At 42.1% G+C, this 13649-nt stretch overlaps 1 protein-coding gene across 10 annotated transcripts in view, besides 1 other annotated feature; it reads left to right on the top strand.

Moving 5' to 3' along the window:
• Nucleotides 1–13649, top strand: part of DPP6 (dipeptidyl peptidase like 6) — a 1146153-nt gene that overhangs the window by 439033 nt on the left and 693471 nt on the right. The window lies entirely within an intron of this gene.
• Nucleotides 11325–11894: an enhancer, noted in NCBI's record as "NANOG hESC enhancer chr7:153895575-153896144 (GRCh37/hg19 assembly coordinates)". NCBI's record gives its function as "activates a minimal SCP1, AML or CMV promoter by ChIP-STARR-seq in primed H9 embryonic stem cells {active_cell/tissue: H9 hESC(primed)}" and the evidence as "EXISTENCE:reporter gene assay evidence [ECO:0000049][PMID:30033119]".

Below are 13649 nucleotides of genomic sequence, written 5' to 3' on the forward strand. Positions count from 1 at the left end.
CGTATGAAATGGAACATTATTATACCACTAATTTGTTCTCTTTAAAAAACAGTGAGAGTCTTCTCATGGTTTTGGTAGTCTCTATTTATTTATATATTTTTATTGGTAGCAAGTGGGAATAAGAGCACAGTTGTTTAAACAAACCCAAGACCATTCTACTTGCTGTGGCTGGAAAGTGAAGAGTATTGGAATCACTGTTTTAAGTGGCTTTGCTGTTTAGACTGAATGTGCACGAGAGCCAAATGACTATTTGATTTCACTAGAAAAATCTGTAAATCTGGTTATTGGATACTGTATAAAGCCATTTAATTCCACAAATGTTAGCCCACAGAAATCTGTGCACTGGAAGAGCTCCTTTAAATTTACAACAGCAAGAAAAATAGGTTTGCTTTCCTATATACTCTCTACTGTTAGTTACAATGACATGAAACAACCCAAGTTTGAATATTTAAGAGTAGCCACAATCACGAAGGGCAGTGTGATAGAACCGAGCAATGAACAGGATGTAAGAAATCCTGGTTTAATCCTATCTTTCCTATGGTTTTGCCCAAAGTGGTCACTTCTCCTCCCTAAGCTTCAGTTTTTCTCACCTGTAAAATTGGGGAAGAGGGTGTAGATGAAATCAGCATGATTCTGCATGTCAGTAGTACATTATTATCTCCTAGAAAGCTTTAAAAAAAAAACTTCTGATGCCGAGACTCTAACCCACTCTAATTAAGTCAGAGACACAATGGATGAGGCCCGGGATATCAATACATGCTCAATAAAGCTCACCAGGTCATTCTAATGGGCATCTATCTAAAGTTGAGAACAGTAGAACCGTCTGAAGGTCTCTTCTGGCTCCAACATTCCGTACCTGAAGATGCTAATGGCTCTTTCTCAATGTCAGAGCACGATGCAGATCGTCTTGTGGTCACGGTGGTTCTCTTGACTCTTCTGGTCACGCGTAAAGACCGGGAGTGGAAGGCAGCACCTCAGCAGATCCAAAGGCCATGAACACCCCACAGTGACTTCCCAAGCTAGAGACTGTGAGTGTACTTGGTGTGGACAAGGCATTCGGGAACCACTGAATTAAATGGGATATTTTTATTCTTAAGAGCAGTGAACTCTACTTTCAAGGGGATGAAACAAGTGAAAAAAATACTTTCCCCCCCAAATATATTTGTCTTGGCTACACCGAGGTCTAATCAGATTTTAGGTATACAAAGATTAATAAGACACAGTCCTTATCTTAATAAGACATAGTCCTTATCTTAAATTAATTTACAATCTAGTAGGGGTGAGGGACAAATTACAATCTAGTGGGGGTGAGAGACAAATAGTAACTGTGTAATGTGGGGGTCTCTAAGTCTGATATTGCTTAGCTATGCAGTTTTCTAGTCTCAGAAACTTGGCTAATGAATTCAAAACTGGAAGGAGGACCCCTAACCCTGTCATTTGCCCAGTTAAGGTAGTTGAGTTTTGCGAGTGAGCTTTTCATTATGCTTTCCATACATATTTCTTTGAAACACAAAGGTATCTAATAAACCCACACAACCCCACACCTGTACACACACAGACTCTGGTATTGCGAAGTGTTTACACTGATGTGCAACAAGCCTCTATGTACTTAAATATGCAAACCTATATTTACATATTTCGATAAAAGAACAAAATACAATAGGATACTTCATCAGTCATGACACAAAGGTGAAAACCACTGTTAACTACTTGTGAACCTCTTATTCTATCCTTAAGCATCTGGAGGCAGCTTGTGTATTAGAATTATTGAGCCTCCGTGTCCCAGATTTGTGTCAGAACCTATCCTTATCCAAGACTTCTTCCGACCAGGGAGAGAAACAATAGCCTGGGTGTTTGTGTTCTTTGCAGCTCTGACCAGGTAAGACTAGTTGTCTATAGGTCTCCTTCTTGCGTTCTGTGGGTCTCCCTGAAACCATTTTCTGCAGGTTGTTAGGAAGTAGGGAAGGCTATTTTAAAATTGCTAATCCAAAGAGGAGGTAAGATGAGATCGTGATACCTTTTTCCCCAAGGGACTAACCACACAACCAACCAACCAGGATAGTTTAGTAGAAGAAGCATCAACAGTGCTACAAATCAGAATTTGAATTTGTATCTTTCCACAACCTAGCTATGTTTGCTTAGGCAAATTTCAACCTGCCTGAATCAGATTTCCTCCAATTTAAGATGAAGCTGGTAATACCCCTACGTAGTGTTTGGGGGTGAAGATTAAATTTAATATTAATACTGTTTATACAGCAGCTATTAAAATAACTAGCACATAGTAGATGTTCAGTTAGTGGTGTCCAAGGTGGCTGATAACTGTCATGGGAGACTGAGTGCACCACTTAGTAAGATGTTTGTTCCGCCAACTCAGTCTCTATGAAGTAGCTCTGTGTGATGTGGGAGAGGTCATGGGGTTGCAGTGGTACATTTGGAAAAAGAAAAAATACTACCTCTTAGACTCTTAATGGAGTAAATGGTGTCATTGCGTAGATTCTCATTAGCCAGTTCTCCCTTCCCTCTCATGCCGTGTCTCTGGGGTTGAGACCAGCGAGGCTATCTTTGTATTTGAATCTCTCTTTGTGGTCTGGCTTGTGTTTCAGTGTATATCTTTCCACACAAACCAGATCAACTGCTTTCAGCTCTGGGAGGAAAACAAAGAAACAAAATGTGATGCAGTCAAACAATTTAATTTCTCAAAGCTTTATGATTCAAATAACCAACAACATTTTACAATGAGTCATTTTGATGGCCAGTAACACCACCCATGGCTTCTTCTTTGGCCTTAAATACCGTCCTTTTAGAGAACGTTCTTAGTTTCTTTTTAACCAACAGTCAAAAATTATTAATTTGGCTCTTTATTCATGAACATTAAAAGCTGGAAGTTAATAAATATTTTATGATTGTAAAGCTCCAATGCATATCTGATTGATATGGAGGGATAAAGAATTGAAGGCAAGAGAGGCCTCCTCTTTCCAGAATTTGCAAAATCAATATAACTTGGGCTTTCACTGATATACTAGGTGCATGACTAACATTGGCTAGAGCAGGTGCTGTCTGATGGAATGGCGCTGCCAGGAAACCCTGATGCTGCCCCGGGGAGGTCTCCAGGTGAGTTTGATCATTGCATCTTTCCCTAGTCTTCCAGGTGAGGTTGGCTAGAATACCCAGGGGAGGAAAAGAGAGCGTTTATATAACACCACCAGCCCCTCTAGTAATGTCAAGATTTGAGAGAAGTATCTAGTAGCTCTTCCTTCTCAAAAGGTGATGGGTTCCTGGGCTGCAATGTATTTTTGAAAAATCATATCTCAATCTTGGAATAATAAGCAGGCAAGTCTGTCAGTTAAAAGGTACTTAAGTATATGATTTAATTCATATTATGTAATTTTTTTCTGCAAATATGTTCAGGAACTCAGCTGCAGTGTTGGTTTTTCTTTAAAGATTTTTTTCCCTTTCCCCTAGTGAACCAGAACAGATTCTTGGAGCTTGCTATTGATTACGCAGATGGATGGGTCTTTCTGAGCTAGGAGGAGAGAACTAGGATAAATAGAGTCCATTTTTTTTCCAAAAGCCTGAAAAGCCCATGAATTCACCTGGTATTCTGGCAAGAGCTGTTACTTCTTAAAGCAAAAAGGGCATTGAATAGGTTTTTCATAGGATGGCCCTTCAAATAACTACTCCTAGCCAACAAAATATTTTAGAAGCTTGCTTTGCCATGTGCTCTTGTAGGAACCTAGAAAATTTCCATTATCAGCTGTTTTCAAAGAAAATATTTATTTTCTTTTTATTTTATAAAAGGAAAAGTTAATTCATGAAATATAAATAAATTCTCAGATTGGCTATTATTTGCTTAATAGCCAATAATAAAAGAGCAACTGCTATTGATTGCAGAGAAAGTCAGTGAACAACTTTGTGAATCAGGGGTCTGTTGATAGCTTATTGTTAGGGGAGTAATTTGCGAGGTTGAGATCCTATGCTCTGACTGCTGATGCCATTTTCTGCAAACGTTGCCTGAGCCAAGTCACTGACTGGCAGGGCTTGTGTATGTGAAATACAAACATACTTGTAAGATTTATAAACGATTACATGGTCACGGGCATCTTAATGGAAAGAAGACTGCTAATCATTGACATTGAATATGTAGAGAACACTTCTTTTGTAGGCAGATAGACTTATTAAGGTATCTTGAGTAGTTCTTTAATCACCCTGTCTCTGTTGCCTTATTTATAAAATAGTGATAAGATTACTTAACCTGTTAAAATTTTGTGAGAAATAAATGAGATCATAAGTGCAATGTGCGCACACAAGGCCTGTCACTTCTGAAAAAAATGTTGGTTTCCCTTTTCCCTCTGTGCAGACCAGCCTGCATTTACCCTTTAGCTGAAGCATCTAGGCCAAGGATGTGTGTGCTCAGTGCATAGCTATTGAATGAGGAATGGGTAGAAGATTGATTGAATGAATGAATGAAGCTAGCTTATGTTCAATAAATACCTACATTAGCATTTATGGGTGAACCCTGAATCAGTTAGGAATGCGTCGAGTCTGTTTCTAACCAGGCTGCCTCATTACTGATATTAACATTTATATTCCCTGAAAGCATCAGGGAATCAGGAAAAGATTCTTTCCCATGTTGTTTCTGTTCTTACCTGGCCTTCTTTAGGGACATGAACTTCAGGTAGTTCTGGCTATTAGCCACTGTACATAGACATTACATATGCATTGTTTGTTATTCTCCTTTGAATTTAAGATTGCTCTTTGACTAAGAAAGTAGAGTGTTTCCACTCTATAATTTATCGACTAAGAAAAAGAGGCAGGAGAAAAAAAACCACACACAAGACAAACATTTAACCTAAGGCTTTCAGGGGACAAGTGCTGGTGGATTTCTGTCTCTTAATGCTTGAGTATTTTCCTGTTTTAGCTGCACGAGTGATGAAAGTGAGGTGAAGACTGATTTAAAGGCACCTTTTAGTTCAAGATGCCTTGTCTTGGCAAAGATTTTAAGATGAAACAAGGTCTCCGACTGAGCAGGCAGTTATCATTAAATTTCGTTTTCCCATTGAATTTCCATTTTTTCCCAATTGTACAACGTCTTGATAGCATCACTGATTCCTCATGAAAATACATATTTTCTACTTGATAAAGCCACCTACAAATAACTTCTCCCATCCTCCAAATCCCACAAATGTGATCCCTACTACAATTAGCTAACACCTAGTCACTAGTTAATCTGGTAGACCTTCCAGTTCCTTCACTGCCTCTTGGTTCCAGGTATTGCACCAGCACTGCAGAGGCAATTAGGGCAGAGGCCTTAATAAGAAGGCCTCCACTGAACTTAAAGCCAGGCATAGGGAATTCGTGAAAGAAACCATAGTAAGGTGTGAGAATTGCCAGATTAAGACAGGGATAAAGTACTCTTGAAATATCCAAACAGAACACTTACTTTTGCCCAGAAGGCAGAAGCTTGAGGAAGGCCACAAGAAGGAGATATTTCAATTAGATGCTTTTATAAATGAATTTTAAAAATCCCCATATGGGTCAAATGAATTCTAAGTGAAGAAAACAGTGTGGTCTGTGGAATAGAAATACGGAATTTTATAGAATCTCGTGCAAACAGGAATTATTTTACTCCAGCTAGTAAAGCAGGTGTTTGAAGCAGGTGGCGGGGAGTTGGCATGAGGGTGGCCGTCAGTGAGGCCAGAGAAGACCCCAGGCCAGGTGGAACATGTCCCTGTTGTACGGAAGTCCAGAGCTAGTGAGCTGATGCTCATGCATCATTTGAAATAGTAAACATGGAAATTAAGGCATGTGCTGTTCAGAAGGCTCAGTAAATAACATGTGGAGTTAATGCTTCCTGTATACATGTAGACTTAGGTAAGCAAAGCCTGAGGTTCTTGGGCCTTTTCACTTGCTATTGCCATGGAAGAGCCAACAAACTATCTCTCTCAGTTCCAGCAGTCCTGGTTCATGGCTATTTACATGCAAATGTCAACACCAGATTGAAAACATCAGAGTGATTTTGCTATAAATAAAAAGTACATTAGACTTTTAGATTTTCTTTGGGATCTGTTAGTGAGCATTACCTGTGCGTGCAGACCTGTACAAGACATCTTGGAAGTGATAGGAAAAAACAGCATTCTCGTGTGTAGTAGATAGATTCCTATTTTCACACCCTTCTCTAGATATCTGTCAGATGATCTTATACTCATATTTTTGAGGAAGCAAGAGTGGGATATCTGTTAGAGCCCCATTTGGGCAAAGAGTAAATAGAGGGGCACAGTTTTTATGGAAGCCTGGAATGATGGATTACATTTTAATAAGGAGAGAAATTTGGTTGCAGGGATACGAATAAGCAGGTTGAATGGAGGGGCAGACTGGGAGGCTGAGTCTCAGGACCGCAGGGCCAGAGCAGCACCTGCAGGTGAGAGGTCTGCAGAGAATGGCAGCATGTTTGGAGTGCATGTGAGGCAGGGGCATGGGGGCTTAGAGTGCTCCTCTTCTCATGGTGGGCTCACATATGTGATGTCTACTTGTGTTTGGAAGCCTGGGTGACAGGTAGACCACCTGTGAAGGATGGGGAAAGAGATTCCTCACTTTAGTAGCATTATCAAGTTCAAGCACCAGTATGGAAATAGGAAGAAAGCAAAAGTATGTACTCCTCCCGGCTAAGCAGGTTGTGAGAATCCCAGCATCCTTGCACACCCTGGGATGCGCTCACCACAGAGGGGTGTGCGCTGGTCTCAAGGGAAAAACAGAAGCAGGCCTTTTTGAATTGAAGTGCAATTGGTGTAATATAGGCAAAATAGCAACTCTTTTCCTAAAGGAACATATCGTGCCCAATTTTAATTAGCTCTGATGAAGTCTAGGAAAATGGGTGACTCGTCAGAGAAGCTGTTAAACTTCAGAGAAAAACTGCCTATAGCCCCAAGGTATTCCTTACTTTGACAAAATTCTTATTTTTCCTTAAGTGTTTGTCACTGTGAAACCCGTCCCATTTCCAGGTGCCGTCACTGTTGGTATAGCTTGAAAAAGCAACACACTTCCTATGGTAAGGGCAGCTTATGGGTGTTTGCAGGTGCAAGGCAAAGAGACACAAAAATCTAGATGTCAGAAAGAAAATATAACCAGGGGGTGAAATAGAAGGGAATTATCATAAAAATCAAGATGAATTGGTAATGAATCAGATGCATATTTTTTTCTCTTTTTGAACAGTTTTATTGAGATATTAATGGCATACAACAAATTGCACATATTTTAAAGTGCACACATTAATAAGCTTTGGTGTATGTATACATCCAGAAACTCACCCCTCAATCAAGATGCTGAATGTGTGTGTCTCTCCTGAGAGTTTCCTCCACGCCCTCTGTGACACCTCACCTCGCTCCTCCCAGGCAGCCAGAGATGCCCTTTCTGCCATGGAATGTTTGTGTGCATTTCCTAGAACGATACATAAATGGAACCATATAGGATGAATTCTTTCGTTGTCAGACTTCCTTCTTTATCCCTTCCAATAGGCGTATAGCAATATCTCATTGTGGTTTCGTTCGCACTTGCCTAGTGAGAAATGTTGTTGAAAAGTTTTTCGTGGACTTATTCGTCTCTCCTCTGTCTTCTTTGGTAAAATACCTGGTCAAATCCATTGTCAGTTGTATAATTGGATTTTGTCTTGTTTTATTTTGTTACCATTTAATTTTGAGAGTTTCAAGAAATATATTCTGGATACAATTCCTTTGACAAATATATCGTTGGCAAATATTTTCTCTCACTCTAGCTCTTCTTTTCTTTCATTCTCTTAACAGTATCATTAGAAAATAAAATTCCTCATTTTGATGACGTCCAGTTTGCCAGTTGGTTCTCTTATAGATTATGCTTTTGGTGACTGCCTAGGAAATCTCTGCCTAGTAGAGAGGGTCACAAGGTTCTCTTCTATCTTTTTTTTCTAGAAGTTTTAACATTTAGGTCTGTGGTTCATTTTGAGATAATTGTATATTGTATGAAGTACGGGTTGAAGTTCATTTTTTCTGCATATGGCTATCTAGTCATTCCAATACCATTTCTCGAAAAGACGATCCTTCCTCCTTGAAATATGGCAGTAACAAATTATAGCACATGTGATATAAATGACTTGCAAAGCCACACTTCCAACCTGCATTAGGAATGGACGGTTACAAGGGCCGCTCCAGGAGCCCACCTGGAGGAAAATGGAAACTGCCATTGGCTGGCAGCCTGTTGGGTAAGAATGGAAACTGCCGTTGGCTGGCAGCCTGTTGGGTAAGAATGGAAACTGCCATTGGCCGGCAGCCTGTTGGGTAAGAATGGAAACTGCCATTGGCCGGCAGCCTGTTGGGTAAACCGCATCAGGCTGCATTCACGGATGCTCTTCTGTGGCACTGATGGGATGACTCCAGGAAGTCTATGGGGAAGTACCACAAAATGTGGAGGAAGATGGCACTAGACACCTGAGGAGGGACCACATGACCTCCATCCAGGTGCCAAATAATTACAGTTGAGATGATTTCCCTGCCTCTACTAACCCAAATTCACCCAAATTCATTGTCCACGTTGGTGTTAGGTGATATTTCCAAAAAATTCTGTTATGCCACTCCTTTGAAAATTTCCTAGGAACCTCAGGTAGGTCCTTCTTCTTCAGAGTTCTAGAGGACAGCAGTGTGTCCTTGCACTCCCTGCCATCTTCCAGCAGGACCCTGTGCTCAGCCCTGCTTTCCACCTGTGCCTCGTTCTTACATGCCTTGTGTGAGGGATGTGGCTTTTCCCTTTTTCGGTTTGGCAAACACCTTCTCCCTTTTCAAGACCCTCTCTGAAAACACCTCATGTACTCCTGTTGGTATTAGCCCCTCTTACTTTGTGCCACCAGATCAGTTTCTGTCTCTAAATATCATTTTCGCTCCATCGGATAGAATAACTGTTCCTCCTCTCCTCTCTGTTCTGTGTTTCCCCACAGAGCTGTGATGGATGGAGGCCTGTTTGCTGTTAGATCTGCTACAGCTGGAATGTAATCTTGCTTGGAGTAAGAACTTACAAATGGGCCGGGCACGGTGGCTCATGCCTGTAATCCCAGCACTTTGGGAGGCAGAGGCGAGTGGATCACTTGAGGTCAGGAGTTGGAGACCAGCCTGGCCAACATGGTGAAACCCTGTCTCTACTAAAAATACAAAAATTAGCTGGGCACGTTGGTTCACACCTGTAATCCAAGCTATTCAGGAGGCTGCAGCAGAAGAATCCCTTGAACCCAGGAGGTGGAGGTTGCAGTGAGCTGAGATTGTGCCGCTGCACTCCAGCCTGGGTGACAGAGCAAGACTCTGTCTCAAAAAACAAAACAAAACTCACAAATGTTCATTTAGTGAATGAGTAAATGAATTCAGTGAATTTCTGTGTTATTCATACTCATCCTACTTTCATGGAGTTTTTATGAAAAGGATGATGACCTTCAGCCATGGGGAGCATTGCACTGCCTCCTTCCAAGGACCACCTGGGCTCCCTGGCCATGAGCCAGTTGCCCCAAAGGCATTTGACTTAGATTAACCTGAAAACATCGATGTCATCATCCCTCAGCCCTGCTCAGAAAGCTGCAGGGAGCCTTCACCCTTTCAGGACCGAGGCCAAGCTCCCCAGGCTGGCTTTATACATCCTCTAACAGAAGCTGGCCCTATCCCGTTTCCACTTAATTGACTCTTCCCCATGGGATACTCTCCTTAATTAAAATTCATCTCTACCCCCTAATAAGCGTATGTGTTCCTACCTCCATGACTTTGCACCCTGAAATGCTCTCAGATTCCAGTAAAATCTCCCTTCTCCTCTTTAATCTCCAAGTTTCTATGTTTTGGGGCTCTGAGTCTCTTCTCCCCATAAAGTCTCCCTTTCTGAATTTCCAGCCTCACTGCCCACTGAACATCTAACCAGATACTGCTTTGTGTATTGAGTTTGATGGTATAATTAGATGGTGTATATTTCTGCCACCCACGGCACAGCCTGGTGAATTGCAATCTTTATTCATTGATATTGTGATAGCAGTGAACTTGGGTGTGGGGAAAGTTTAATGAAGGTCAAGCAGAAGATATGTAAAGCTCTAAATACAGAGAGTGATGATTTATTCAGAGAAATAAGAGAATCCATGGGGAATACCAGACTCTAGCTTCCTTGTGGACAAGAAGCATTCCTGTGCCTCTGTGTGCTCTGTGCTCCTTCTCCCTAACTAGATCCCCACCCTTGCCCTAGCTTGGTGCACTGATACCATACGTCGATGCAGACACTAAAGAGATGACTTCCACCTCCTCACAAATATTCAGGTAGAAGACCTTCCCTCGGAACACCCGGTCATCAGAGAGTGTTCCTGATTTCGCTTTTGCAAACAAGAGGTAGTCCAGCTTGGAAGAACATCCAGCGCCTTCCCTGAAATTCATCTGTTCTCCACTTTCCACTCTTGACTGTCATAACAAAGGACAGTTGTAGGTGGTGCCCAGTGACCCAACTCAGTCAGCTTTATCTATTGGCAATAAGGTAGTATTGACATATCAATATTTCCTTGCCAAGATGCTCATTTGTTCTTAATAAGAATCAATAATGTTCAATTAATATAGATTATGTCACTAAGTAGTTAATTTAGAATGTCGTTGCTTTGCAGTTCATATCCTAACCCACCTGATCCTAACAGCATCCACCTAGGAGCCCAGACCGTTGGGAAGGAGAAGAGCAGAAAACCTAACTGGTCCACCTGGAAGACCTAGAATTTCATTCCAGCAGGAGCGGCCCACCCAGGAAAGGGCCTCCCTCCCACAGCAGCTGCTGGGAATCACTCTCTTTGATGACATCATTGTCATCTGGGCAGGGAGCAGAACCATTTTGGGGTTTCCCATCCATTCAGTGCTCCCACTGAGGTCTTGGAGTATGGCCCAGATGGCTGTAGATGTGCAAACTTACGATCATCCTGGAGCACGGGGCCCTGTGTCATATGGATCCTGCTTGATGTGTAGATAGTGCATTATTTTCCTACTTGAGCTCTTTCCTTTTCCAGGTACATAGACAGGGTTGCCTTGAGGCTTAGTCACCCTTCGCCCATTCTGTCTTACTACTACAGAGGGTGAGAGACTGGACAAAGGGGCCCTCAGTGTAATTTTCACTTCACATATTTTATTATTATTTTTTTTTTGAGATAGGGTCTCACTCTGTCGCCCAGGCTGGAGTGCAGTGGCGTGATCTCTACTCACTGCAACCTCCACCTCCTGGGTTCAAGTGATTCTCGTGCCTCAGCCTCCCAAGTAGCTGGAATTGCAGGTGTGTGCCACCACACCTGGCTCATTTTTTTGTATTCTTAGTAGAGATGGAGTTTCACCATGTTGGCCAGGCTGGTCTTGAACTCCTGACTTCAAATGATCTGCCCGCCTCGGCCACCCAAAGTGCTGGGATTACAGGCGTGAGCCACTGCACCCGGCCTCACTTCACATATTTTAAATTTATTCCAGTAGTCTAAGCATTATGCAACTCTGGTTAGATAATGAAGGTCATGATACACCTAGAAGGTTACAGATTTCAACTGGATTAACCATTGTTATACAAACATATGTGCATGTGGATATCAGAGGATTCAGAGCCTCTCTCCTCTGTTTTGTAAATTGACCTTCAGTCTCTCATCTTAGGAATGACTCTTGGCCTTGGATGAGGGCCTGACGAGGGTGGGTTGAGTTGGTAAAACCCGGCTGTGTTAGTTTCCAGTCCATCTGAACCCACAGCCCCTTTTCCTGGCTTTCCCTGCTATAGCCCATGAACACAATCACAGTTTCTGTTGATCATCGTTATGGTCCTCCCAAATCCTTCACCTGGGCTATTGGTTTACTAGGGTTTTTTTTTTTTGGTGGATTTGCCCAAATGTGGGGACACCTGGCAGGAGACAGCAGCTGGGGTTCCTCGAGGCTGCTTGGAGCCCTGGCCCCTGAGTCAAGTCCTCACGTTCCCTTTTATTTCCTTCTCCCCTAATTGCAAGTCGTCAGGAGTTTCAAATGCCCACCAACATTTGGAGAAGGCTTGTGGGCTGTTTGCAGGCTATTCAGCCCCAAAGGCTGTACGGAGATAGGTGTGGGTTATCCTAAGCGTCCCTGCTCCTCATGTTGTCACTCATCCATTTTCAGTAGGCGCTGCTCCTAAAATGCACGTTAATATTGATGCTGTTTCATCCGGGTTCTTTTCCTTTCTACATTGCCTCACCTGGTTTCCACTATTCCCTAGTAACTAGGTAGGAGTCATTTTTTTAGATGAATAATTGATTTGCTTAAGGGACTTTGGGCAAACTTAATTGGTAGCTGAGTTAGAAGTACACATTTTGTTCATTTATTTGCCCGTCCTTTAGATATTCATGAAGAATTTGCATAGAAGCCTAGCACTGAGTTTATAATAAAAATTAACCTCATGGCATCTATACTCTCAGCCACTTTTTTTTTTTTCTTTTTTTTTGAGATGGAGTCTTGCTCAGTCACCAAGGCTAGAGTGCAGTGGTGTGATCCTGGCTCACTGCAAGGTCCGCCTCCTGGGTTCAAGTGATTCTCCTGCCTCAGCCTTCTGAGTAGCTGAGATTACAGGCACACACCACCATGCCCAGCTTTTTTGTGCTTTTAGTAGAGACAGGTTTTCGCCATGTTGGTCAGGCTAGTGTCTAACTCCTGACCTCAAGTGATCCGCCTGCCTCAGCCTCCCAAAGTGCTGGGATTACAGGCGTGAGCCACCATGCCCTGCTTTCTCAGCTACTTTAAAACAAATAACAACAAAAAAATCTCCTGATTGTCAGTGCAGAGCCCCGCCCGTAATGCCTGGACTCACAGGCTGCTGGGCTTAGCAGTCTCCTCAACCCCAGCTGCACAATGGAATTACTCGGAGCTTTTAAGAAAGAAAGAAATAATAATACCAATTCAAAATCAAACACGGAACACATACATCGGTCATCAGTCACATACCATAGATTCTTATTTAATCAGTCCAGGGTGTAGCTTGGCTTTGGAAGGCTTTTTCTTTCCTGGCTCCTTTTTTTTTAAACAATTTTTTATTGATGCATAATCAATGCATATAGTTTTGGGGTACATGTGATAATTAAGTACATTCATATAATTTGTAAAGAGCAAATCAGAGTACTTAGGATCTTCATTACCTTAAATATTTGTCTTTATGCTAGGAACATTCAAATGATTCCCTTCTCGCTATTTTGAAATGCACAGTAGATGAGTGTATGCTGCAGCCACCCTGCTGATCTATCGAACGCTAGTGTGCAGCTGAGGGTGAGAACCGCCGGGTGGAGATTGGAGGAGACCTGAGTCTTTAATAAACACTGAGCCGCTGGGGAAAAGGTTTGAGGGGCATTTGCTAACACAAATGCTAAAGGTCAGTACTAAAAACTACTCAGGCCATTCTTAGGCATTTTTGTCTTAGAAAATGTCAAAACAGCTGTGACCTCATGATTTCTGTCTCGTGAGGACTCTGAAGAATGCCTTAGTGCTCCTGAATTAGGTTGTAAATATTGTACTTTTTTCTCTTGAGTTTTCTTTGGAAGAATAGTGAATGATTAAAAGAAAACCAAAGCAGTACTATTATTTTAGAATACGGAAATGCAAGGTAGCAAAGTGTCTAACACCTAGAAAGTTAGCCCCGCC

The sequence above is a fragment of the Homo sapiens genome, chromosome 7 (assembly GCF_000001405.40).
Source record: "Homo sapiens chromosome 7, GRCh38.p14 Primary Assembly".
Lineage (NCBI taxonomy): Eukaryota > Metazoa > Chordata > Mammalia > Primates > Hominidae > Homo > Homo sapiens.